General features: G+C 42.4%; 1 long non-coding RNA gene and 3 pseudogenes across 1 annotated transcript; 3 read left to right on the top strand and 1 right to left on the bottom strand.

Annotated features, from left to right (window-relative positions):
* Positions 1–17,598: 17,598 nt before the first annotated feature.
* LOC107987086 (uncharacterized) lies at positions 17,599–18,867 on the bottom strand. The gene is made up of 2 exons (XR_001746781.1): positions 18,812–18,867; positions 17,599–18,221 (listed from the first exon to the last, which is right to left on the bottom strand). It is a non-coding gene; the product is annotated as an uncharacterized LOC107987086 (long non-coding RNA).
* A 374-nt stretch (positions 18,868–19,241) lies between these two features.
* On the top strand, positions 19,242–20,411 carry LOC442427 (putative UPF0607 protein ENSP00000381418; annotated as a pseudogene).
* NPAP1P8 (nuclear pore associated protein 1 pseudogene 8) lies at positions 20,637–22,025 on the top strand (annotated as a pseudogene).
* Positions 24,118–24,793, top strand: MTCO3P40 (MT-CO3 pseudogene 40; annotated as a pseudogene).

Raw genomic sequence — 26,073 nt, 5'->3', positions numbered from 1 at the left:
ACCTCTATAATTCATCCTATCTTTTTACTCCCTTTTCCCATCTCTGAGCATATTGGTTCTATTTTTGAGGATAGTGTTTTTTTTAACTTTATCTTCTAACTTCCAACCAGCATGGAAGTTACAATAAAACATGAATAGATGAAAATATACAAAGAATCACAATTAGAGGATGTAAACGTTTTTTGATGGCAAAGTGTTTGGAAACTTACAAAGCCAGTTTACACAAAGCACACAAGAATGGAATATTGGTATGGAAGGACGTAGGCATCTCAGGAACCTTCCCAGAACCTTCTCACAGGGGAGTACAGCCTTGGATGACAAGTATTACACAACAGAGATTCTGAGTAAACATATCCCTAGTATTTATAGATGAAATAGCTATAGAATTGTTTGATTAAAATTTTCTTCTTCACCTGACATTTCTTCTAAGTTCCTTTGTTCTATTCATTTGTTTTGATCTCTCTTCTATTGTAGACCCTTTCTTCAAATGTTTGGTATTTACTGGATACTGTTCATATTTATGAATGGTGCACTAAAAAGCTGACAAGACAAACATTAGTTTGATTATTAATTATATAATGCATGTCCTAGCTGTGCAAGCCTAGACACAATGTAAGCTTCAGTGAGTTATACTTTGCTCATCTATACCTGAGGATACTAAGTCTTCCCTGTATGGTAGTTTTGAATATCTAATGAGATCAAATACGATATGATAAGGGCCTGTCAAAAGCCATGCCCTTACAATTTATAATGGGATCTTTAAATTGACAATTTCTTCTCCTCCTGCTTATTAGCATACGAAAGAGAAGTTATTTATTTTGAGTCAGTACAATGTATCAGACAGACATTATAGGTTTAAGAATCAGACAAACTGGAAGATGCTTTCAAGCAAGTTTATTATTTCATTCATCTATTCATTAAAAAATATTGAAAACCATCTCTGCCTCTTACTAGCTGAGTGAGCTTAGGTAAATTACTAATGTTCTTCAGCTTTAGTTTACTCATCTATAAAATTAAAATAATAGTACCTAAATAGTAAGGTGGTTGTGAAAATGGAATAAAACACACAGCCTGCAGCACATTATCGGTGGTAGGTATATTATGCTAGATGATTATTTTAATAAATGAATTAGTGAGTAGCCACTTAGCATGGGTTTTTTAAAGCTTGGTTTTCTTGCAATATGGATTAGAATAATGATATTAAAATATTCACAGGCCATGCGCAGTGGCTGATGCCTGTAATCCCAGCACTTTGGGAGGCTGAGGCAGGCAGATCACGAGGTCAAGAGATCGAGACCATCCTGGCCAACATGGTGAAACCCCATTTCTACTAAAAATAAAAAATTAGCTGGGCATGGTGGTGCATGCCTGTAGTCTCAGTTACTTGGGAGGCTGAGGTGGGAGAATTGCTTGAACCTGGGAGGCAGAGGTTGCAGTGAGCCGGCCGGGATTGCACCACTGCACTCTAGCCTGGCGACAGAGAGAAACTCCATCTCAAAAAAAAAAAAAAAATTCATAAACACACTTTGCTCTTAATTTGCTTGTACTGAAGACAAAATATACTGTCTATTCAATCGATTTGCCCAACATTATGTAGCTACCAAAACTAGTACTTTGTGGACTTTTCAAGTTCATGTCTTCTATGATTGTAGGAGCTTTAAATGCATCAATCCTTGGGTCACAGCAACCAAAGAAAGAAGTGATAGGTGCAGTATTTGCAAAAGCAGTATGCCAGGAAAAAGGAGCCTCAATAGCTTGCATTCTGCATATGGAAGCTAGCTTATTTAGCAAGGGTATTTCCCTGTTTTAGCTGTTTCCTCATGATGTCATTTACCATTGAAAAAAATTGACATCTGAAGTCTCTGACCTATTTTAAGGCTGTCTTATCTCAAGAGGCATCTCTTCAGTGACTCTAAGAATAAGGCTGAGAGATGGGCATTGAAGTTCTGCCATATGGTGCAACATATGTACAGTTGGTATACATGTCTTGAAAGGATAGCAACATAAGATACACTTTATATACAGTGTATCATCACACATAAACCTTTCAAAAGAAGTCCAGAATATGTGTGTGCATGCATATAATTATAGGAATACATATGCATAAATGTGCATATATATGCATATATAGACACTCAGATATGTTAGTATACAACCAAGAATTGTTTCCATGAAAGCTTAAAATATTGGGAGATGACTGCCTTGGCAACTCTACAAATCTAATTTTGAATTAATTCGTTTATGTATGCAAAAAATATTTATTAAGTATCTATGATATGCCACATTGGACACAGTATTGAACTGCATCACAGGCATTGCAAAGGAAATGATGTTTTGTAACAAAGAGAATGTGTTACCTTTTGTAGAAGATTTTTAGGAAGAAATGGCAAACAATATTTTCCAAGTTCTAAGTAAGAGTCTGCCTTGACAAATATTAGTCCCATGGTTAAGGATTGTTAATGGAAAATAAGCATTTCTTTGTATTTACAAATTTTTATCTACCTATGGAAAGAATGAAAAAACTCTTACTACAGTCATGTGCCATACAATGACATTTCAGTTAACAATGGGCTGCATATACAATGGTGATCCTATAGGATTATGATACTGTATTTTACTGTACCTTTTCTATGTTTAGATATGTTTAGATACACAAATAGTTAACCATTGTGTTACAACTGCCCACAGTGTTCAGTACAGTAATATGCTGTACAGGTTTGTAGCCTAGAGACAATAGAATACATAGCCTAGGTGTATAGCATCATCTAGGTTTGTTTAAGTACACTCTATGATGTTTGTACAATAATGAAATCACCTAACAACATGGTTCTTATAAGATATTCTTGTCTTTAGTGATGCATGACTATAATTTAGTTACTACTTCAAGCCACACCTTTGCAAGTACTCTTTGTGCTCAATTAAACAATAATTAAAGAATCACACACACACACACACACACACACACACACACACACACACAATAATATTAAAAGATGATGAAGCTGAAAAAGAAGTGCTGCTCTGCTCTCAGAACTGACAAGATCTGCAAAATCAACCTCAACACCCCCAGAACCTGTTTGGTCTGTCTCGGAGGTAACAGGGACTTGCAACCAACAACTTAGCTGTTTGTCTTCCTCTCACTCATTCTTCCCTTTCATCTACCTTGCAATTCTTTCACCTGTTGCTGCCCTTCCCCACCTACTTCTTTTCTTCTGGTCTTTTTTCCCACTTGGTAATGTCTCTGTTTTATTATAATAAATACCCATTTCTGTCTAGCACCTGAAAAAAATCTTCAGATAAAAGCACTCTACAATAAAATAAATAAATGCAAGAAATCTTAGAGAATGGTGGCAGGAGGAAGATGATAATATGAAGGCAACACATTCAGAATTTGAAAAAGAGCCACCTAATCCAAATGCTCAGAAATCCATGTCACCCTAATCATCATGTCTACTGAATGTACTGTGACTATACCCAGGTCATTTGATAGAGGGCACCTGTAAAACTCTCAAAGAGAGAGTCTAAGTTTCCTTGGTGAGATGCATTCTTCCACTTACAGACACAGAAATACACAGATGTATAACAGAATAGAAAATAATAGCACATTTTCATTCAAAAATAACAGTAGTCAACTAGAAAGACAAAAAAGTAGTATACATTACATATTTTAAATAAAAATAATTTTAATATAGCAATATATTCTAATATAGTGATATCAAAGACAAACTTTCAAGTCTATCAGATTTTCAAAAAACAAAGTTAAGTCAAATTACTTTTCAAGTGATGTTAAGTCTATTTTTGCTTCTCATTGACCACAACAAGATATTTGTGATTAAATTATTACTTGTCATTCACAGTGCAAACAAGGCACTGGGTACTTTGTTTCTCACAATTTGTTTGTATAGGGCAAGTACTTAATATACATTAATCAATCTTCTCCTATCATTAAGCCATGCAAGTCGGGTCTTAAGTTTCTTCAAGACCACCTGGTCTTCAGTTCTTCAGTTAGAATTGCTATTGTCAAGGATTAACATCTTAATTAACTTAAAGGTCATAAACACAACAAATGGGACCACTTCCACATTGTTCCTTGAGTCCAAAACCACAGTAGAATTTCCAAATGAAAGAATTTTGCCAAAATGTCTTTCAAATCACTGCAACTGGTAGCTTTGATTTTATTGAGCATCAGTGTTTATCAAAGGAGCTGTCATTAAGATTTTTCTCAAGCACATTTGACATCTCCCCAGGCTGGACAATAAGAGATAAGAGCAGCAGAGGCAGAATAATAGCTCCATTTATGGAGCAAAATTATGTGCCTGGCAATGTGTTCTATGGACTGTAAAGAAGATCCACTGTGCACTGGTTACCACCTTGCCTTGAGTGATATGAGACAAAACACCCACAGACACAACAAATTACATGAAATGGATTACTTAGAGTAAGCAGCAGGAGACAACGGAAACCTAGAGGCTCATGAAAAAACAGTCCTCCAAGGCTCAGAAAAGTTGCCTGAGGTGAATGAAGTCTCATCTGTGCATTCGCCACTTGTACCACAGCTGAAAGACTCTGGAAAGTAGCCCACATGGGTTTTATACTCTGTGACACTGTGAATTGCTGAGCTAAAGCACTGACGGACGTCTTGTCTCTCAGGGGTACAGGAACAGAGCTGACTGTTAAGGTCAGTTCTTCCCTGTCTCACAGTGTTGCATTCCCAGAACATTACACAGTTATTCTTGAGAAATACAAGGGAGAAAGTGGGGAGAACTCGGTTAGTCTAAGATCACCTAGAGAACTTCCCTGAATGAACATGATCTGATTTTACTTTAATGGTGACCAGTAAGGGAGATGATATTATCACTATTTTACTAATGAGAAAATAACCCCATGGAACTAAAGAAATTTTTCTAAACCATACAAATAGTAAGTGGAAAAGCTGGGATCTGAACCCAGCTTTATATCAATGTTGTTAGACAAAAGGATATATAGTTTTTTCCCATCGAAAGGATATATAGTTTTTGTTCTTGCTGCCTTTTTCACTTCTGTGATTAGACAAATCATTCTCCCAGCAAAACCAGTTCAAAGCCTTGGATTTTCTTTTTATTCTTTCCTTCCTCCTCACCACAAAGAATTTGTTGCCAAATTTTTGTCAATTCTACCTTTAAATATTCAGTACAGCTGTCTCTCCTCTTCCATTTTTACCACCACTGCCCTGTAGAGATCCTCCTTTCTCTTGGCTAGACCCTTCCAATACTGTTTTAACCCTTGTTTCCCCTTTCAGCAGTCAATTCCTCCTTTAATCCATTGCAGGGTTTCTCAGCCTTGGCACTACTGATACTTGGAGCCAGATAATTCTTTGTTATTGGATGCACAATGGGACATGTAGCAGTGGAAAAGTCCACTTCCTCCCCCTACTGAGATGTAACAACCACATCTCAGATTATCTACTTCCTCTCCCTACTGATATGTGACAACCAAAAGTGACTTCAGATCTTGCCAAACATCCCTGGGCAGAGGGCAAGCAAGACTAACCTCTAGTTGAGAACCACCGATACATACTAGTCACCATCAACAGTTAAGCATCCAAATGCATAGCTAACTTTGATAGGGTAACTCCCTGGCTCAACATATTTCAGGACAAAGTTCCAGATTTATTTTATCTACATCATCTCTTCTGTGTGCATTCCTTGCTCCTGCAAATTTATCCCAATTGTTGTTACCTAGATACATCCTGTCTTCATGCCCTTCGTGCCTACTCTATTTCTTCTATCTGAATGCACACTTTGGTAAGTTTCTCCTTCTGAAATTCCATCCATCCACTGAAGTCTATCCCAAAAGCTGCCCCTTCTAGAGCCTTCTGTGATACAGCTTACAGAAATTATGTCTTTTTTTCCTATGGTGTCTCCATTTAGGGTTTGTCTCTAAGATTACTGACCTACTGTCAATCATCTTCTAATTACAGCTACCTGCATCCATTTTCTTTCCTACTACACTCTTAGCCACACCTCAGTTATAATTTATAACCCTAACAATACCTGGCATCTCTTAAGAATACAGTAAATGTTTGTGAATTAAGTGGTCTTAAAAAAACTCTGAATGCCTACCCTGAGAGTATACATTCAATGTCAGGGAAATTCCTTTAGCTCTGCCTACACGGCAGAGAGAAATGTAGTAAAGAACTTCCAGTGAATACAATGTCTGGCTGCAGGAGTTCCTAGACTAAGTACTAGGTAAACTGGATGTATGCCCCAAAACTTGTCAGTGGGATTCACCAAGCTGCATGAGAAACACAAATAGTTACCATGTCAGGGCTGGAAGTTACAAAGTGGCTGAGTCACGGTTAGGGTGCTAGCAGGATGGGTGGCAAAAAGCAGGGGTGAGCCACGAGCAAGGCAGATCCAGAGAGTTGCCTGTCATACAAGAAGGTGAGACATGGGCTCTGTTGGCAGAGGCTGGTTGTTGGCCAAGATATTCGTTTCGTATAGGCACCGTTCTGTCTCACCAAGCCAAGGGTGTGGGCTAATGGAAATTTATCTGGTTTGACATGAATCCCAGTGGCTAAAATCTCATAAGAATCCACCCCCCAAAAATGATGGAACTTATATGCAGTCTTTTAAAAAATCTCTTCCAGGCCTATGGTGAAGGGGAGAGAGGGACTCTAAAAATTCTTTAAGGTCCTAAACAGTTGGCCAGGTGCTAATATCAAGGCTGTTATACATAGCTGGCACACAAGGTATATGCTATGAATCAGATGGGCTTATGCTGTAGAATACCATGTAAATGACAACTGGTAAGCACGTGAATCCATTGCCTTTTTTGAGTTTAAATAGAAAAGTGACATTTCACAATGTGCTGCACAAGTTCACCAGATTGGCTGTAACCAACCTAAAACACATCCAGTATTTCATCCCAGAAAGTCTTTATAAGCAGTAGCACACATTTAATATACTTCCCATCAAATGTCTACCTTGAATGTGATTGTTGGTTCAACATGCCCTATACCAGCCTGACAGGGAATTGTGAGGTTTTGTGCTTTCTAGCCTCCTCCTAGGACTGGTACTGTAGCCATCCCAATCCCTCTTCACATTGATTATGGTTTTCAGTGGTTGTAAGATTGAAATCTCCCTTACAGGTAGCAAGGGAGAAGAGGAAAAGTAGGTCTAGTTCATGATTCTTGCATTTCAAATTGTATTTTGAATAAATGTAATGCAAACCAATAACTGCAGAACAGAATATTGTTTCTGCGAGCCAAACTTCTAAGAAGAGAATATTGCTTATCGTCATTCTTGTCACACACTGCTCGTCCTCGGCCCCACTTCTTTTCCATAACCCATGTTCATTTGTTACAGTTGCATTTTCTTTAAAGCACATTTTCTTATCCATATTGTATGTTACTCGAGCTCTTTTATTTGGGATTTTTCACACATCCTTCACATCTTCTTTGCAGCTCCAGTCAATAAGCACTAAGACCTAAATGCGCCTTTGCACTTCATGGCTATTCCCTTATCATATGCATTTTCTGTTGCCTTAAGGAAGACCTGTACAATTTTTGTTATTGAAATCTGAATTTTTTTCCCTCCCAAGCAGATGGAGGATGTGTAAATGTGTCTAAAGACTTAGAATAGCATTAAATCTGTTTTTTCCCCTTCCTGCAAAGCCCTGGGAGTCAGAGTATTTCTCAGGCACCCATTAAAACCAAGAAGTGAGAAAAACAGCAATAATTCCCAAACCCAGAGAAAACTGCAAGAGCATGTTACCAAGCTTCCCTTGCCACACAGACCTTTGTTTGGCTGGGTGCATCAATCTCCCCCTCTTTGGCAAGACGGTATGATTGCCAAATCATCCATGAATGGAATTACATTATTCCATTATATATTGATTGAAAGATGTAAAGCTTTTATTGTTGCTATTTGTCAAGGCTCCTTGCCAAGAGATGTGTGGGAAAAAATGCTGCACAGGGAGCCTCAACTTACCCATCTACTACACTCACAATCTCCTTCCTAAATTGACTTAATGGATATTAAAATGTACTTCCCAGACAAATAAGGCTATCTTGTGTGGTTAGGTTCTCCAGCTAGCACATAAACACCCAACTAACCCTTAAAAGGACACTTACCCACATTTATATTATACTTCTGATACACCAAGCTAGTCTATGTCCACATGATACACCCATACGCACACAATTCAAACACATCCCTCACTATTTTATACTTCCAAGGTTTAGGTCATCCTATTCTCATTGTGAACATCCTTCCCTTCTCTCTCCTTGTGACTAACTCTTGTACAACCTTTCTGAATGAGCTAATATTAGCATTATCTCTTAGGGAGTTTCTCTGATTCCTTCCAAGCCCACCCACCTTCCAGCTGAGTTATGTAGGGTCTCTGGGTTCCCATAATAATCTAGGCATCCACTGTGTCACACCATAGTGCTTACAACATTGGATTAAAGTATTCTTATTAACCTTCCCTTTCCTCTACTAGTCTTAAGTTCCCTGAGGGCTTGGTCAACATCATGCCTAATAAATAATAGATCAGTAATTTTTCTTAAATAGTTACATAACTGGCAGTCATACAAGTTCTGTCTTCAGGAGTTCCCATGAAATACACTATCTCCCTCCCTTCTTGCTCAACACAACAGGGAGATTGCTTAGAACTTTTTTGCTCCTGGAAGAGTCTCTGTTATTATCAGCAAAGAAGCACTGAAGCTGTCCAGATGCTTTGGAAAATCCAATGTCATGTGACATGGAAGGCAAAGAGGGGATCTTAAGGAAAATATAAAGGCAGCAGAAGTACATGTTCTGGCAAGAGCAGCAGTTATCTTAGGTATCCTAAAGTGGATACAAGAGTCTCTGCAGAGACAACTCAGGAAACACTGGTGATATGGTTTGGCTGTGTTCCCACCCAAATCTCATCCTGAATTGTACTCCCATAATTCTCACATGTTGCGGGAGAAACTCAGTGAGAGATAATTTGAATCATGGGCTTGGTTTCCCCATACTGTTCTCGTGGTAGTGAATAAGTCTCACAAGATCTGATGGTTTTATCAGGAATTTCCGCTTTTGCATCTTCCTCATTTTCTCTTGCCACCACCATGTAAGAAGTGTCTTTTGCCTCCCACCATGGTTCTGACACCTCCCCAGCTATGTGGAACTGTAAGTCCAATTAAACCTCTTTTTCTTCCCAGTGTTGGGTATGTCTTTATCAGTAGTGTGAAAATGGACTAATACAACTGGCATCATGTACCTGCTAACTACCATAGTTAAGTCATGTTCCATAGCTGGATGGCTCTACAAGGAATGTCAGGAACTCCACAGACTTTGCTTTAACTCAGGAAGATTTACCAACACTTATTTACTCACTTAATGATTTTCTAACCCAACATATGAAATAAAGATTTCCCATGCATCATCTGTTCCCTGAAGCTTTCCCTTATTCCAGCAATCTCTTCTTCCTCAGAAATGTCATTGCTCTTAGTAATTTTGTCACGAGTTAATCTATGTTTTCCCCAGGTTTCCATGGTACTTTAGCTGCCACTCCCTTCTAGCATTTAATTGCTACTTTCTTAAAGAACTCAAAGAGAGCAGTCAGTATAAAATCTCAACATTGGAGAGAATTTTGAGCACATCTAGTTTCTTTATATACCCAGGTAATCACAACTAGAAGCAGAGCAGTGATTATAATCTATACAACCTAATTTCAAGTTGACTGTTCTCACTGGTGTATTACACTGCCTCTTACTTAAATTCTATCTTGTCATACTTATGTTGAAACATGGCTTATCTTCACCTTGAAGACTAGATACCCATCTGATTTACTTTTGTATGAGTTCAGGACTAGCTAGGAAAAGATGGCAAATTAAAATTAGGTAGTTTGTATTGAATTTAATAAAGAGACCATTTGCAAAACTGAGGGCAGGGTTTATGTTTTCCCTAGCCAAGAGAAGACAGTTCAATACTCTAACAGCAGAAATTATGGGGAGCCATTATTGAGTCCTAAGGGGCAAAGCAGTGAACATTTACAAGAACCTAAGGACGGTGGCTCTGTGAGTAAAGCAACCCATCTAAGATGATTTAGCAAGAAGGTGGCAAGGAGGATAACTACTGCAACTTCATTCTCTTCCCACCCTAGATCTCATGCCAGCATCTCCCATTGGCTAAATTTAACGGAAGCTATATTAGGGTGTTCTTGCATTGCTATAAAGAAATGCCTCAGACTGGATAAGTTGTAAATAAATAGGTTTAATTGGCTTTTGGTTCTGTGCACTATACAAGCATGGCAACAACATCGCTTGGCTTCTGGAAAGACCTCAGGGAGCTTTTACTCACGGCAGATGGTGAAGCAGGAACTGGCATGTCAAATGGAAAAAACAGGAACAACAGAGAGAAAGAGTTGGGGGGTTGTTGCCACACACTTTTAAACAACATCTCCTGTGAATTCAGAGTGAAAGCTCACTTATTACCAAGGAGATGGCCCAGGCCATTCATGAGGAACCTGCCCCATGATTCAAACACCTCCCACCAGGCCCCAGCTCCAACATTGGGGATTACATTTCAATATGAGTTTTGGGTGGGGGCAAATCTCTAAACTATATCATTCCCACCTTCCTCCCACAAATCTCATGGACTTCTCACATTGCAAAATACTATCATGCCTTCCCAGTAGTCCCCAAAGTTTTAACTCATTTCAGCATTAACTCAGAAGCCCAAAGTCTAAAGTCTTATCTGAGACAAGGCAAGTCCCTTCCATCTATGAACCTATAAAATAAAAAACAAGTTATTTACTTCTAAGATACAATGGGGGTGTAGGCATTGGGTAATTCCCATTCCAAAAGAGTTAAATCAGCTGAAACAAAGGGGCTACAGGCCCCATGTGAGTTCAAAACCCAGCAAGGCAGCCATTAAATCTTAAATCTCCAAAAGAGTCTCCTTTGACTCTATGTCCTGCATCCAGAGCACACTAATATGAGGTGTGGGTGCTCAAAGCTTTGGGCAGCTCTGCCCCTGCAGCTCTGCAGGGTTCAGCCCCCATGGTTGTTCTCCTGGGCTGGCATTGAGTTCCTACAGCTTTTCCAGGCATACGGTGCAAGTTGTTAGTGGATCTACTATTCTGGGGTCTGGAGGACAGTGGCCCCCTTCTCACAGCTCCACTAGGCAGTGCACCAGCTGGGACACTGTGTGGGGGTCTAACCCGACATTTTCCCTCCACACTGCTCTAGTAGAGGTTCTCTGTGAGGGCTCCAGCCCTGCAGCAGGCTTCTGCCTGGGCACTCCAGCCTTCTCATACACCCTCTGAAATCTAGGCAGAGGTTGCTGAGCCTTTTTCACTCTTGCACTCTGTGCACCTACAGGCTTAACATCACATTAAAGATGCCAATGCTTACAGCTTTTACCCTTTGTTGCTGAAGCAGTCATTCGTGTTATACCTGGGGCCCTTTGAGCCACAGCTGGAGCTGGAGCAGCAGGGATATGGGGAGCAGTGTCCTGAGGCTGTGCAGGGAAGCTGGGCTCTGGGCCTAGCCCATGAAATCATTTTTCCCTCCTAGACCTCTGTGCCTGCAATGGGAGGGTCTGCCAGGAAGGTCTCTGAAATGCCTTCCAGGCTTTTTCCCATTGTCTTGGTTATTAGCACTTGGCTCCCTTTTAGTTATGCAAATATCTCTAGCCGGTGGTTGCTCCATGGACTGCTTAAATTACTCTCCCAGAAAGGTTTTCTCTTTCTCTGCCACATGGCCAGGCTGCAAACTTTTACACTCTGCTTCCCTTTTAAATATAAATTCCAACTTTAAGTCATTTATTTGCTCCTGTATCTGAGCATGGGTGTTAGAAGCAGCCAGGCCACATCTTGAATGCTTTGCTGTTTAGAAATTTCTCTGATAGATAGCCTAAATCATCACTCTGAAGTTCAAACTTCCACAGATCCCTAGTGTATGGACACAATGCAGCTAACCTCTCTGCTAAAACATAACATGCTGATCTTTGCTCCAGTTCCCAATAACTTCCTCATTTCCATCTGAGTTCTCATCAGCCTGGACTTCACTGTCCATATCACTAGCGGAATTTTGGTGTCAACAATTTAACCAGTCTGTAAGAAGTTCCAAACTTAATCTCATCTTTCTGTCTTCTTCAGAGCCCTCCAAACTCTTCCAACTTCTACCTTTTACCCAATTCCAAAGCTGCTTCCACATTTTCCAGTATCTTAAGCAATACTCCATGCCTAGTACCAATTTTATGTATTAGGGCATTCTTGCATTGCTATAAAGAAATATCTGAGATTGGATAATTTCTAAAGAGAAGAGATTCAATTGGCTCATGGTCCTCCAGGCTGTAAAAGCAGGGCACTGACGTTGCTTGGCTTCTGGGGAGGCCTCAGGAAGCTTTTACTCATGGCAGAAGGTGAAGTGGGAGCTGCCACGTCACATGGCAAAAGCAGGAGCAAGAGAGAGAGGGTTGGAGGCGAGGTGTCATGCACTTTTAAGCAACCATATTTCCTGTGAACTCAGAGTGACAGCTCACTTATCACCAAGGAAATGGCCCAACCCATTCATGAGGGATCCACCCCCATGATCCAAACACCTGCCATCAGGCCCCACCTCCAACATTGGGGATTACATTTCAACATGAGATTTGGAGGGGAGAAATATCCAAACTATATCAGAAGCCAAAAGGCAAGGGACCCTGGATGAATGTAATCTATGAAGATTCACCATCCTGTGCTGAGAGCAATTGAGGAAAGAGTGGATAATTAATCTGGAGAAAAACAAATGATATGCAGAGAAGTGCTTAGCACCATGCCTTGCACAAAGAAAAGGCACAAGAATTTTTTTTTTTTTTTACAAAATTAGTCCATGTATTTAAGAGCAAAAGTTTCATTTTTATATATTGGGTATGATGTTGTAAATACCCATCTCAGTTATAAATCCACTGAGGAATTCCTTACACACTGCACAAGGCAATGCTGTGCCCAGAGTAAATATTAAATAAATATTTTGGAGGAAAAAGATTAACTAGCCCAGATAAACAAAAAGTAAAATCATTTTTTTCTGGGTAAAAATGAGGCAGCCTTCTTACAAACACGCATGAAAGCCAAGGTCAGCCAGTGAAACAGATTCAACATTTCCAGACACTGTCAAACATGAAACTCTCCTGTTACTTAACAGTCTTCAGGATTTTCCTGCAAGTCATTTTCACTGTCTGTCATCTCCAAGTTCTCTTCATTTACATTAGAAGCTTGAGATATAGGAGAAACATCAAACTACACACTCTTCACAACATTTATGGCCTGATTAGATGGAGACCATTTTAACTTATAAGATGGTTTATTGTGCAATTGGTTCCATTGTTCTTCAATTCCATTGGGTATTAAATACCACTAGGGTGTTTAATGTGACTAATACATGTGCATACACACACACAGGTCATTGCTTAGGTAACAGCCTCTTTAGAAACCCCATATATGTAGCCAGAAAATACTGAGAAGGCTATAAAATCTAAGAAAAACTGGGCAGTCTTGAAGTAATATTTTCCTCTGAGAGAATAAATATTTATAGAATATTCAGAGCTGACTTGATAATAACTTCATGCCTAAAGAGTTTCCTGATTCACATAAAATATTATCCACCTAATTCCAGTTCTCCTCGCATTAAGCACATGGCCAAGAGTTGGCCACTATGAAAGATGACCAAAGCATTTCATGGCCACGAAGTTTTCCAGCAGCTTAAGGAGAACAGAGGAGTCAAACCTGGTTCACAGCCCAGCCGTGTGATAGTTCTTTTGGAATGTGAAGGCCCCTCTTGAGTTCATGACATTTTGTCTTATTAGCCAGTTAGTAAAGAATAGAGAAGATTACAATCTCTCTATTTCTGCAGGAAAGTACACCTGCCGTCATCTCCTGAGTGATTGTAAGAGGCAAAAGTGGGGGCACTGCATGCACATCTCATTAGAAGACTTCCGAAGAAAGGGCAGAGCAAGGCTGCTGCATGAGCTGGGGTCCTGTTAGGGGCACTCAGGGATCGGCACCACAGCCCAAGGTCTGCACCAGGCTGCTGCACTTGCTGGAGGAAGAGTACCTTCCCCTAATCCACACAAAGGCATGACGGGAGCTATTCCAGGCCTGGGGACAGTGAGTGTAGATGTGTTTTCAGAGAGCCAGTCTCAATCACCTACTATTAATGGATATACAGTCACGTGCCATTTAACAACATCTCAATTGACAAAATGGACCACATATACAACAGTGGTCCCATAAGAGTAAAATACTGAATTTTTATTGTACTTTTTTTTTTTTTTTTTTTTTAAAGACAGGGTCTGGCTCTGTTGCCCAGGATGGAGCACAGTGGCACAATCTTGTTTCACTGCAAACTCCACCTCCCAGGCTCAAGCCATCCTCCCACCTCATCCTCCCAAGTAGCTGGGACTATAGGCCTATACCACCACACCCAGCTAATTTTTTGGATTCTTTGGTAGAGAAGGGGTTTTGTCATGTTGCCCAGGCTGGTCTCAAATTCCTGGGCTCAAGTGACCTGCCCACCTCAGCCTCCCAAAGTGCTGAGATTGCAGGCATGAGTCATCATGCCTGGCCCTATTGTACCTTCTCTATACTTAAATATATTTAGATACACAAATACCATTTTACTACAACTGCCTAGAGTATTCAGTAGAGTAACATGCTGTATAGTTTGTGACCTAGGAGCAATAGCCTATACCATATAGTCTAGGTGTGTACCAGGTTTATAGGTACACACTACACATCTAGGTCTGTGTAAGTCCACTCTACGATGTTTGCATGACAATGGAATTGCCTAACACATTTCTCAGAACGTATCTACCTCATTAAGTGACGCATGACTGTAAGGAAACCTGGGGAAAAAAAAGTCAAGAAGAAAATAAAGAACAACATAAGCAAGTTTCTTAACAAAACAAAACAAAAAAAAGGTAGGTCAGGTATGGTGGCTCACACCTGTGATCCCAGCACTTTGGGAGGCCAAGGCGGGCAGATCACCAGAGGTCAGGAGTTTGAGACCAGCCTGACCAACACGGTGAAACCCCATCTCTAGCAGCCTAGTTTAGGAAGCTGCTTGATGCCCACAAGGCTATACTGCCCCAGAGAAGGAGTCCACATATAGCACCATCTAGAAAGCCAAGCCATAGCTGAGTATATTCTGCTCCATGAACTAGTGGTCACTGCCTCCTTCCATCCCAGAGGCTACCCTGTCATTACAACAGCCTTCTCCAGGAAAGCAGCTGCTGCTGTCTATATCCTAGAAACAAACTCTCAAAGAGGTTTGCCTTCCACATCCTAGTGACTGCAACACTCTAACTGTGGACTGATTACTGATTTATTGTGCCATCAGTGTGCTCACCAACTGGGCCTGGTGTTTCTAGGTGATCCCCATCTCAAACCTGCAGAGCAGCCCCAGTAATCCACAGCCAGGCGAGTGTTTCCAGAGGAGTCCCATCTCAAACTGGTGAACCAACCCCTGTGACTCAGTAACACATTCACTAGATAGTCATGCAGCTTCCTGACACCGCCACCTTCTCCCCCAGCCCCCAATCCTGAGCAGAAAAACAAATTGCACATGCTCCTGCAGCTTAGGTCACCAAGACACTCACAGGTATCACCAAAATGGATACTAGCAAAAGAAAAAAAAAAAAGGCAAGAGAAAAGTACAGATACTACACTAGTGTGTCCTCCTAGAACTAAAGCAGATGCAGCCCATCTAACTGACACCCTAAGACACATCTCCAGGTGAAAATCTTTCTCTACATAAGCCACTCTATACAATTAGAACAGGTGACCGTGTCAACAGTCTCATAAATATAAACATAGGAGATAAAAAGCATGAAAATGCAATGAAACTTGACACCACCAAAGGTGCACAATAATTCTTCACAAAGTTACCCTAAATAAATGGAAATTTTCAAGTTGCCTTAAAAGGAATTTGAAATATTGATCTTAAGAAAATTCAATGAGATACAAAAGAATACAGCTAGAAAACTTAATCAAATAATAAAAAAAACAAGCCATAACCTGAATGAGAAATTCAACAAAGACATAGATACCATTAAAGAAAACAAACGGGCCAGGCGTGGTGGCTCACACCTGTAATCCCAGCACTTTGGAAGGCCGAGGTAGGTGGATCACGAGGTCAGGAGATCTAGACCATCCTGGCTAACACGATGAAACCCCGTCTCTACTAAAAAGACAAACAATTAGCTGGGTGTGGTGGTGGGCGCCTGTAGTCCCAGCTACTCTGGAGGCTGAGGCAGGAGAATGGTGTGAACCTGGGAGGCGGAGCTTGCAGTGAGCCAAGATCGTGCCACTGCACTCCAGCCTGGGTGACAGAGCAAGACTCTGTCTCAAAAAAAAAAAAAAAAAAAGAAAGGAAAAAAAGAAAACAAACCAACAGAAACCTTAGGAATGAAGAATTGAATGAATTAAATAAAAAGTACAACTGAGAGCTTCAATGGCACACTAGATCAAACAAAAGAATTTTTGAACTTGCAGACAGGACTTTTGAAATAACCCAGCCTGAGGGAAAAAAGGAGAAAAAAAGAGTAAAAAGAATCAAGGAAAGTCTATGAGACTTGTGCCATGATATTAAGATAACAGATTTTGAAAATATAGAAGAGAAACAGAGAGAAGAGACAAAGACACAGAAAACTTATTTAACAAAATAATAGCTGAAAATCTCCCAATTCTTGGGAGAGATACGGACATCCAGTTCCGTGAAGCTTAAAGGGTCCCATACATTTTCAACCCAAAAAGGCCTTTTCTAAGGCACATTATAATCAATTTGTCAAAAGTCAAACACAAAGAAAAACTTCTAAAATTAGCAAGAGTGAAGCATCAAATCACAAATAAGCAAGTCTCCATTAGACTATCAGTTTTCACAGCAGAAACCTTGAATTCTAGGAGAGATGAGGATGATATATTCAAAGTGCTAATGAGAAATCAGTCAGCAAAGAGTACTGTACTTAGCACAGCTACCCATCAGAAATTAAAGAAATAAAGTCTTTCCCAGACAAGCAAATGCGTATGGAATTCATCACCATAAGACCAGCCTGACAAGAAATGCTTAAGGGAGTGCTTCAATCGCAAGTGAAAGAACAATACTCATGCAAAAATACAGGACACTATCAACCTAACTGTTAAAAGTAAATTCATATTCAAACTGAGAATTCTACATTACTGAAATTATGCTTTAGAATCTTTCAAATCCCCCTTGAGAAAGCTGAACATCAAAATAGTCAAAAATATTTATATCTACAATGAGTTCTTAATAAACACCCAATACAGAACAATATAAATTAAGGCAAAAAATTACAAATTTTGGGCACTGACAAGGGATGTGGGGGTAGTATAGCAGGTTTGTGCGTGATCAAAATTTTTATCAGCTTTAAATAGTCTATCATAACTATTCATTTTTAAATGTAAGCTCCAGAGTAACCAGAGAAAAAAATTACACCAGATATGTCAATGAAATAAAGGAATCAAAGCTTATCAGTACAGAAACTCAGCAAACCATAAAGCAAACAATAAAAGAAGAAGAAACAAAAGATCTACAAAACAACCAGAAAACAATTAACAAAATGACAGAAGTTAACTTCTTGCCTTTTAATAATATCTTTGAATATAGATGGTTTCGATTCTCCAATAACAAGATGTAGAGTGGCCAAATGGTTTTTCATACATGTTTCCCTAGTCCAGACACCCAAGAGTATGTCCCTCTCTTGGGCATAAGAAAACCTAGAGTTATATTTAGGGCATCATGTGTGGTGAATAGTTGACCGAGCTGGCATTCTCACAATGACCAAATTATGTTTGTCATATTTTAATCCAATACATTGATCTACTATGAACTTGTAAATAATGTATTTGCTTTCTAGACACATTCCAGGAAGACCAGAGAAACTGACTTTTATCCATATGGAATAATCCACTGGCAAATTTCTTTTAGGACAGACCAAAGCTGATCTAGAACATAATATTTACATACTTGGATCCTTCCCATCAGACGAGAAAGAACATCTGGGGTGAAAGGCTCCATTAGAAGAGCAATGTGGGATGGTGCTGTGCTGACAACTGGTAGTTCCTGCCCTACAACTTTGTAGAGGACTGGAGCCCAGAGCATGCCATGGTCAACTTGTATGTTGAAGTGAAGACCTCCTTCGAGGTGTGCATGTGCTTATTACAGATATGCCACGGTGCTAAGTACCCCAGGACTACAGGAAAAATTAAGAATAGATGCTGTATCCATGATCATGAGGCACACAGGCCAGAGCACCAGCTGTGGAATTGCACAGCCCGGGTTCAAAGCCTGGCTAGGCCATGACCACCTGAATGACCTGAGGAATGGTCTCAGGCAAATTTGTAAAAAGTGGAGACCCTGCCTGCCAGGGAGGCACGTGGTAAGAGGCGCAACCAGTCAGGTCAGGGCACCGCGTCCTCTCTTTGGAAACCTGCGGAGTGAGGCTGGTGGCCCTTGAGGCCACAGCAGCCATGGAGAAGGTGGGCCTGGCTCCAGGTGGCACAGAGGCACTGGAGAGGCCCCCGGGGAGCCTGGCGGGATCTGGCTGGTCCTGCGCTCTGCTTCCAGGTTCTGGCCCTGTAACCCGTGGGACAGGGCCGGCCAAGACAGGGCCACTGGGTGCCAGCCAGCACCTGGGCCAGACGCCAGGCGGAAGGGCTCTGGCAGATCAGTCCCGCACCCCCAACAGCCCCACAGGGAGGCCCATCCAAGGCCACACACCTGCCCCCAGGAGCAGGATGTCCCTGAGGCTAGAGTCCAGGGGGACCAGTGGAAGGGTCTCACCCTTTGCCCTTTGACTCCTCTTGTAGGCACCCTCGCTGGGCTCCTAAGCACTCCTCCACACCCTGGCTCTGTCACCAGCCCCATGGTGATGTCATAAACTCCCAGATGCCCAGTGTGCACCCGGCCACAGAGAAGTGGGTGACTTAGGAGTATCCTCTCCACTTCTGACCCTTGGTTTCATCTGTGCACAACTTGCTCAAAATGGGCAACTCACTAAGCATATTTTGCTCCTGGTCCCACCGCAGGTCCTGGCCATGCCATCGGCAACCTGCTCGTCTTGTCCGTGAGGCCTTCCCAGCTGGCCGGGCTCACCCCGCGGCTCCTGCACCTGTGCCTGCCCCGGGAATCTGGGGCCGTTTCCCACTCCTCTTCAACTGACAGTGACATCTTAGGCCTTCTTTTCCAGTCAGGTGGGACAGCGCCCCTATGAGGCTGTCTTATCCCTCGGAACACGGGCACCCCACAGAGGGTCCTGCCTCCTGTGGTCTGGAGCCCCCCCTCAAGGAAGAAACCCATGCTGTCTGCTCACAACTCCAGGATGTTTGGACACCTCAGCCCCGTGAGGATCCCTCGTCTCAGAGGCAAGTTTAACCTCCGACTTCCTTCATTAGATGAGCAGGTGATCCCAGCCAGGCTCCCGAAGATGGAGGTGAGGGCAAAAGAGCCCAAAGAAGCAACGGAGGTGAAAGACCAGGTAGAGACCCAGGGGCAGGAGGACAATAAAAGGGGCCCCTGTAGCAATGGGGAAGCAGCCTCCACCTCTAGGCCCCTGGAGACTCAGGGAAACCTCACTTCCTCCTTGTACAATCCCAGGCCCTTGGAGGGAAATGTCCACCTCAAGAGCTTGACAGAAAACAACCAGACTGACAAGGCCCAGGTGCATGCAGTGAGTTTCTACTCCAAGGGCCATGGAGTCGCCAGTTCACACAGCCCTGCTGGAGGCATCCTTCCCTTTGGGAAGCCTGACCCACTTCCAACGGTGCTCCCTGCCCCAGTTCCGGGCTGCTCCCTGTGGCCAGAGAAGGCGGCCTTGAAGGTGCTGGGTAAAGACCACCTGCCCAGCTGATGGTGATGGTGGGGGAGGACACGCAGCCCAAGGATCCTGCAGCTCTTGGATCAAGTAGGTCTTCTCCACCCAGAGCTGCCAGCCACAGGTCCTGCAAAAGAAAACTGTCGGGGCCACTGCTGCAGCTGCAACCAACCCCTCCCCTGCAACTGAGGTGGGATAGAGATGAGGGTCCCCCACTGGCTAAGCTTCCATTTCTATCTCCTGAGGCACTGTTGGTGGGTCAGGCTTCCCAAAGAGAAGGACGCCTCCAGCAGGGCAACATGCATAAGAACATGAGGATGTTAAGTAGAACATCAAAATTCAGGAGACTAAGAGAGCTGCTTATGAGGAGAAAGAAGAGACGGCAGGGCAGGCGTGGTGGCCCACGCCTGTAATCCAGCACTTTGGGAGGCTCAGGTGGGCGGATCAGGAGGTCAAGAGATTGAGACCTGAGGAACATCTCTGCCTGCACCAGCTGGGAAGTGAGGAGCGCCTCTGCCCGGCTGCTCCACCGTCTGAGAAGTGAGGAGTGCCTCTGCCCAGCCGCCCCACCATCTGGGAAGTGAGGAGCGCCTCTGCCCGGCTGCTCCACCGTCTGGGAAGTGAGGAGCGCCTCTGCCTGGCCACTGCCCTGTCTGGGAAGTGAGGAGCACCTCTGCCCAGCTGCCCACCATCTGGGAATTGAGGAGGAGCACTGCCTCTGCCTGGCCTCCACCCCATCTGGGAAGTGACGAGCAACTCTGCCTGGCCACCTCATGGTATGGGAAGTGAGGAGCGCCTCTGCCCAGCCATTGCCCTGTCTGGGAAGTAAGGAGCGCCTCTGCCTCGCCACCGTCCTGTCTGTGAAGCGAAGAGTGCCTCTGCCCGGCCCCCTTACATTCTGGGAAGTGAGGAGCGCCTCTGCCTGGCCACCGCACTGTCTGGGCAGTGAGGAGCGCCCCTGCCCGGCTCCCGCCCTGTCTGGGAAGTGATGAGTGCCTCTGCCCGGCTGCCTCACAGTCTGGGAAGTGAGGAGCACCTCTGCCTGGGTCCTGCCCCGTCTGGGCAGTGAGGAGTGCCTCTGCCAGGCCGCCGCCCTGTCTGGGAAGTGAGGAGCGCCTCTGCCCGGCTGCCTCACAGTCTGCAAAGCGAGGAGTGCCTCTGCCCAGCCCCCTTACACTCTGGGAAGTGAGGAGCGCCTCTGCCTGGCCACCATCACATCTGGGAAGTGAGGAGCGCTTCTGCCCAGCCGCCCCCCTGTCTGGAAAGTGAGGAGCACCTCTGCCCGGCCCCCTCACCGTTTGTAAGGGAGGAGCGCCTCTGCCCAGCCCCTGCACTGTCTGAGAAGTGAGGAGCGCCTCTGCCCAGCCCCCTCACCATCTGGGAAGTGAGGAGCGTCTCTGCCCGGCTGCTGTGCAACCTTCCAAGTGTGAAGTGACAGCCTTGTGTGTGATCTTTCTGCCCTCCTCAAGCTTGCATTTTCGACATTAAAGTTTACTTTTTAATTAAAAAAAAGGAGATCGAGATCATTCTGGCCAACATGGTGAAACTCTGTCTCTACTGAAAATACAAAAATTAGGCGGGCATGGTGGCTTGTGCCTGTAGTCCCAGCTACTCGGGAGGCTGAGGCAGGAGAATGGCTTCAACCCGGGAGGTGGTGGTTGCAGTGAGCCGAGATCTCACCACTGCACTCCAGCCTGGTGACAGAGCAAGACTCCATCTCAAAAAAAAAAAAAAAAAAAAAAGTAAGACATGGCAAACTGCAGTGGCACCCAGCCTGCCCCTGCTGTCTCCACACCTGCTGAGACTCCCTGCCCCTGGCCACCTACACTTCACAGATCCCAGCTCCTCGTCCTACTCTGACTCGGCCCACGTGCTGTTGGGCCCCTCATTTTGCCTGTCCCTCCACCTTCTCCCACACCAAGAATTGAGTAAAATTTGATATCCATAATTCCTAACTCTTCCCTGGCTCTTCCCACTGACCTTGCCCCCATTTTGGGGGTTCCACCTAATGAAAAAGGAGGCTGCTCTCATTCAGCTGCAGTTTCAGTGCCTCTGACCTCTGACCCATGCCCCACACGTCCTAGCCCCACATCTTTCTCCTTCCAGCCTCCCTTCAGAAGGGTGCCTCCTACACCCATATGTGTGCATTCCTCTCCTCCTCTTTCCTCCCCCACTCCTCTTCCAGCAACTTTACTATAGAAAACAAAAGACCCAAGTATGCAAGCAATATATACCATGTAAATGGGTAGTGAGATTAAGTATCAGCAAGATACCAAGCCTCCTAAATTAATCCATAAATTCAACACACTTCTAATAAAAAACCCAAATGCATTTTTTTTGGTTAAATATGATCACCTAAACCTAAACTCACAGTGAAGAAGGGTCAAGAATAGTCTAGGCAATTTTGAAGAACACGGAGGTAGAAAAACACTCTAATCAACGTTTATTATAAAGCTGTGGTATACATGAATGAGTCTCTGGTATATGGAGATATGAATATATCCAATGAATAAAAATAAAAGCCAGAAATAGACCCTTTAGAAGGGAATCTGGCTTACCAAAGAAGGGAAATTTCCAAGCTGTAGGTAAATACTGGATTATTCAACTAATAATGCTGAGACAACTGACCATCATATGGAAAACAATCAAATTAGACCTTTAGGGTAGGAAACGATTCCCTAAGACTTCAAAAGACCAAACTATAAAAGATTGGTAAATTTGGGCCGGGTGCGGTGGCTCACGCCTGTAATCCCAGCACTTTGGGAGGCCGAGGTGGGCGGATCACAAAGTCAGGAGATCGAGACCATCCTGGCTAACACGGTGAAACTCCGTCTTTACTAAAAATACAAAAAGTTAGCCGGGCATGGCAGCGTTTGCCTGTAGTCCCAGCTACTCAGGAGGCTGAGGCAGGATAATGGCGTGAACCTGGGAGGCGAAGCTTGCAGTGAGCCGAGATTGCGCCACTGCACTCCAGACTGGGCGACAGAGTGAGACTCTGTCTCAAAAAAAAAAAAAAGATTGGTAGGTTTGATTTCAGAATATATAAAACTTTTATAAGACTAAAGAGTTCTACAGAAGTAAAGAATAGAAGCTCCTCTTTGATCAGATCAGAATCAGAACAATAATACTCAGGAAAATATCTTGTATCACATTTTAAAATAAACCAAATATTTTTATGGCAACAGGCACATATGGTAAAATTATAAATATCAGCAAAGAAAGAAAACAATCACCAACTTCAAGACAGTGGTTATCTGTATGAGAGGCAAGAGTAAGTGACGGATGTGAAGGAATTTCTTAAGATGCATTTGTAATATTGTATTTACCTGTAAAAGTAAGCTTGAATTAAAAATAGCAAAATGTTAACACCAATTAATTCTGGGTGGTAGGTATATAGGTGTCTGATATCTATATCTATATCTGTATCTGATAACTTTCTGTATTCTTAATGTATTTCTTAATTAATGAAAATACATACAATATAGCAAAGATAGCCAAGAGAACGAAAAGTAAAAAATAGATGAGACACTGGAAGCAAGGAGGAAAGAGGCATAAGTGAGTGGAAGCTCCATAATTCATATTGTGGGGATCAACAGGTGTTGTCTGTACAACAACAACAACTACCATTAACAAATGGTAGTTAAGCATACTACAGTATCTAGAATTATGAGGGTAACGTGCGACAGATTTAAAATCAGAAAATAACCAGATGGGTAAAAAGCAGGAGTCTGTTGCTTTTCATTTTAAGTGTTCAACCATTTGAAATATTAACACGTGTGCATTCTTGGAAAAAAGGGCAAACATTAATGCTTAAATTGGAGATTTTAAAAAATGCCTGTATCACCCCTAGAATAAATTTTTTAAAATCAGGAGCTAAAGCTGTTACTCCTGGGAACTTCAAAATGTTTTGTTTCAGATAAAAAAGGACTACTACATATAAAGCACTATAGACTGCAGGTTACTACAAGAAGCCAAATACAAGTACTTCAGGTAGCAAAATCAATTTACCCTGAAACGATGTTGTAGTTGAGAGCAGGATGGTCTTTTGGGACAGGAGGAACAAGAGGTTCTGGTTGCCACTCTTCAATCAGTTCTTCTTTTTCCTACAGGAGAAAAAGAATTAAAATACAGTGCAGTGCTAATATTATCAATTATTAGTGTCTCTGCAACTTCAGTATTTCCTATTATTCTAATTCTACTAACTGTTCTCAAGTTCGCTGTCACTCTTATTCAAGCTTATGTCTTCACACTATTAGTCTTTGTTCGCATAATACATAATGACCCACCAGACACATGCCTACCATATAGTTGTACCTAGCCCTTGACCACTAACAGGAGCTCTCTCGGCTCTCCTAATAACATCTGGCCTAACCATAGGATTTCACTTTAATTCTACCACTCTTTTAACTTTAGGCCTACTAACCAACACACTGACTATATATCAATGATGACGTGATATTGTCCGAGAAAGTACATTCCAAGGCCACCACACAGCAATTGTCCAAAAAGGCCTCTGATACAGGATGCTCCTATTATCTCAGAAGTATCCTTCTTCGCCGGTTTTTTCTGGGCATGCTATCACTCCAGTTTAGCACCGACCCCAGAATTAGGAGGACATTGACCCCCAACAGGTATTCTTCCCCTGAACCCTTCAGAAGTACCTCTCCTAAATACGTCCGTATTACTTGCATCAGGAGTTTCAATGACTTGAGCCCATCACAGCCTAACAGAAGGTAACCAAAAACAAACAATTCAAGCACTACTTACCACAATCCTCTTAGGAGTCTATTTCACCCTTCCACAAATCTCAGAATATTTCGAGGCCCCCTTTATTATCTCTGATGGAATCTACAGCTCAACATTCTTTACAGCCACAGGCTTTCATGGACTTCATGTTATTATTGGATCAACAATTCTCACCATCTGCCTTCTCTGCCAATTAAAATTTCATTTTAGGCCAGGCATGGTGGCTCATCCCTGTAATCCTAGCACTTTGGGAGGCCGAGGTGGGCAGATCACCTGAGGTCGGGAGTTCGAGACCAGCCCGTAGACCCTTACATTGACATGGCCGACTTCCCAAGACTATCTATCTTACTCCACTGTCTTGCAAAATATATGCGATTCTCACTGAACATAGTAGGATTTACTCACTCTTCTCTAAGAATAGAATCCAACCTTTATGTTCTAAGTGTCAGAAAAACTAAAAAAGAAAAAGTTTCATCTTTGCAAACTCAGTAGTGCTCTCTTCCTACCAATCATGTACCCATGTCCTCACCTTTCTCTCCCTGTAGACACCTCCTCTCAGGAAGGCTAATACGAGCTGAAATATAAATTAATAAGCAAGACTTAATATGTGTGGCTACTTAGGACAGGCAAAGGACCAATGTACATAAGAGAGAGCCAGGATGCTTTCCAAAATAAGGAACGGCTTCAGATAGTAGAGCAGGTTGACTCAATTTTGTATCTTGTGTTCATTGCCCAGTGCTTGGCTATTTCTGTCAGGGTTTGTCAGGAAAAAAAACCAAAAAAACAAAAAAACAAAAAAACAAAAAAACAAAAAACTGTAGGTATTCTGAACAACAATGAATTTAATACAGGGAATTAAAAGTTTACACAAGCTTCAGAAGGACTAGTGAGCTAAGGTCAGGGAGGCCCAGCCTCTGAGGAAGTCTAGAAGTACCAGCAATGCAGAAAAGCTGCCACAAAATTATCAGATGCTTGCAGTGCAAAACTGGATAAATCTCAGAAGCATACTGATGAAATCTGGTGTTCCTCTAATATCTGCCAAATATATCTAATCTAGCTAATGATATCCAATCTATCAATATATCTAATATATCAATAATATCTAATATATCTATCAATAATATCTAATCTAACATATCCTCTAATATCTGATGTTCCTCTAATTTCTAATAAATGTACCTTCCCATAGCTGCTGCCATAGATTATGACTTCTCCTTTTCACCTGACTTCCAGAGCTCACAGAAATGCTTCTCAATGGGAGAATCTAAAGAGAATAAAGAGGGTGGGTTTGCTACTGAGAGAAAAGAAACAGTATCTGGCATACTGGTGGAAAAGAGGGATGCAAAAATATTGGCTAAATTAGTGAATGAATAATTGAGGGATGGAGGAATGGATGATGGATATATTCTCATAGAATAGGGCACTACTCTTTAGGCATTGATATATTGGAGGTAAATATGCAAAGATTAGACTAGAAAACTGGTAA

This window comes from Homo sapiens, chromosome 9, assembly GCF_000001405.40.
Source record: "Homo sapiens chromosome 9, GRCh38.p14 Primary Assembly".
NCBI lineage: Eukaryota > Metazoa > Chordata > Mammalia > Primates > Hominidae > Homo > Homo sapiens.
Note: the sequence above shows the minus strand (reverse complement) of the source record. Positions and strands in the feature narration are given on the sequence as shown.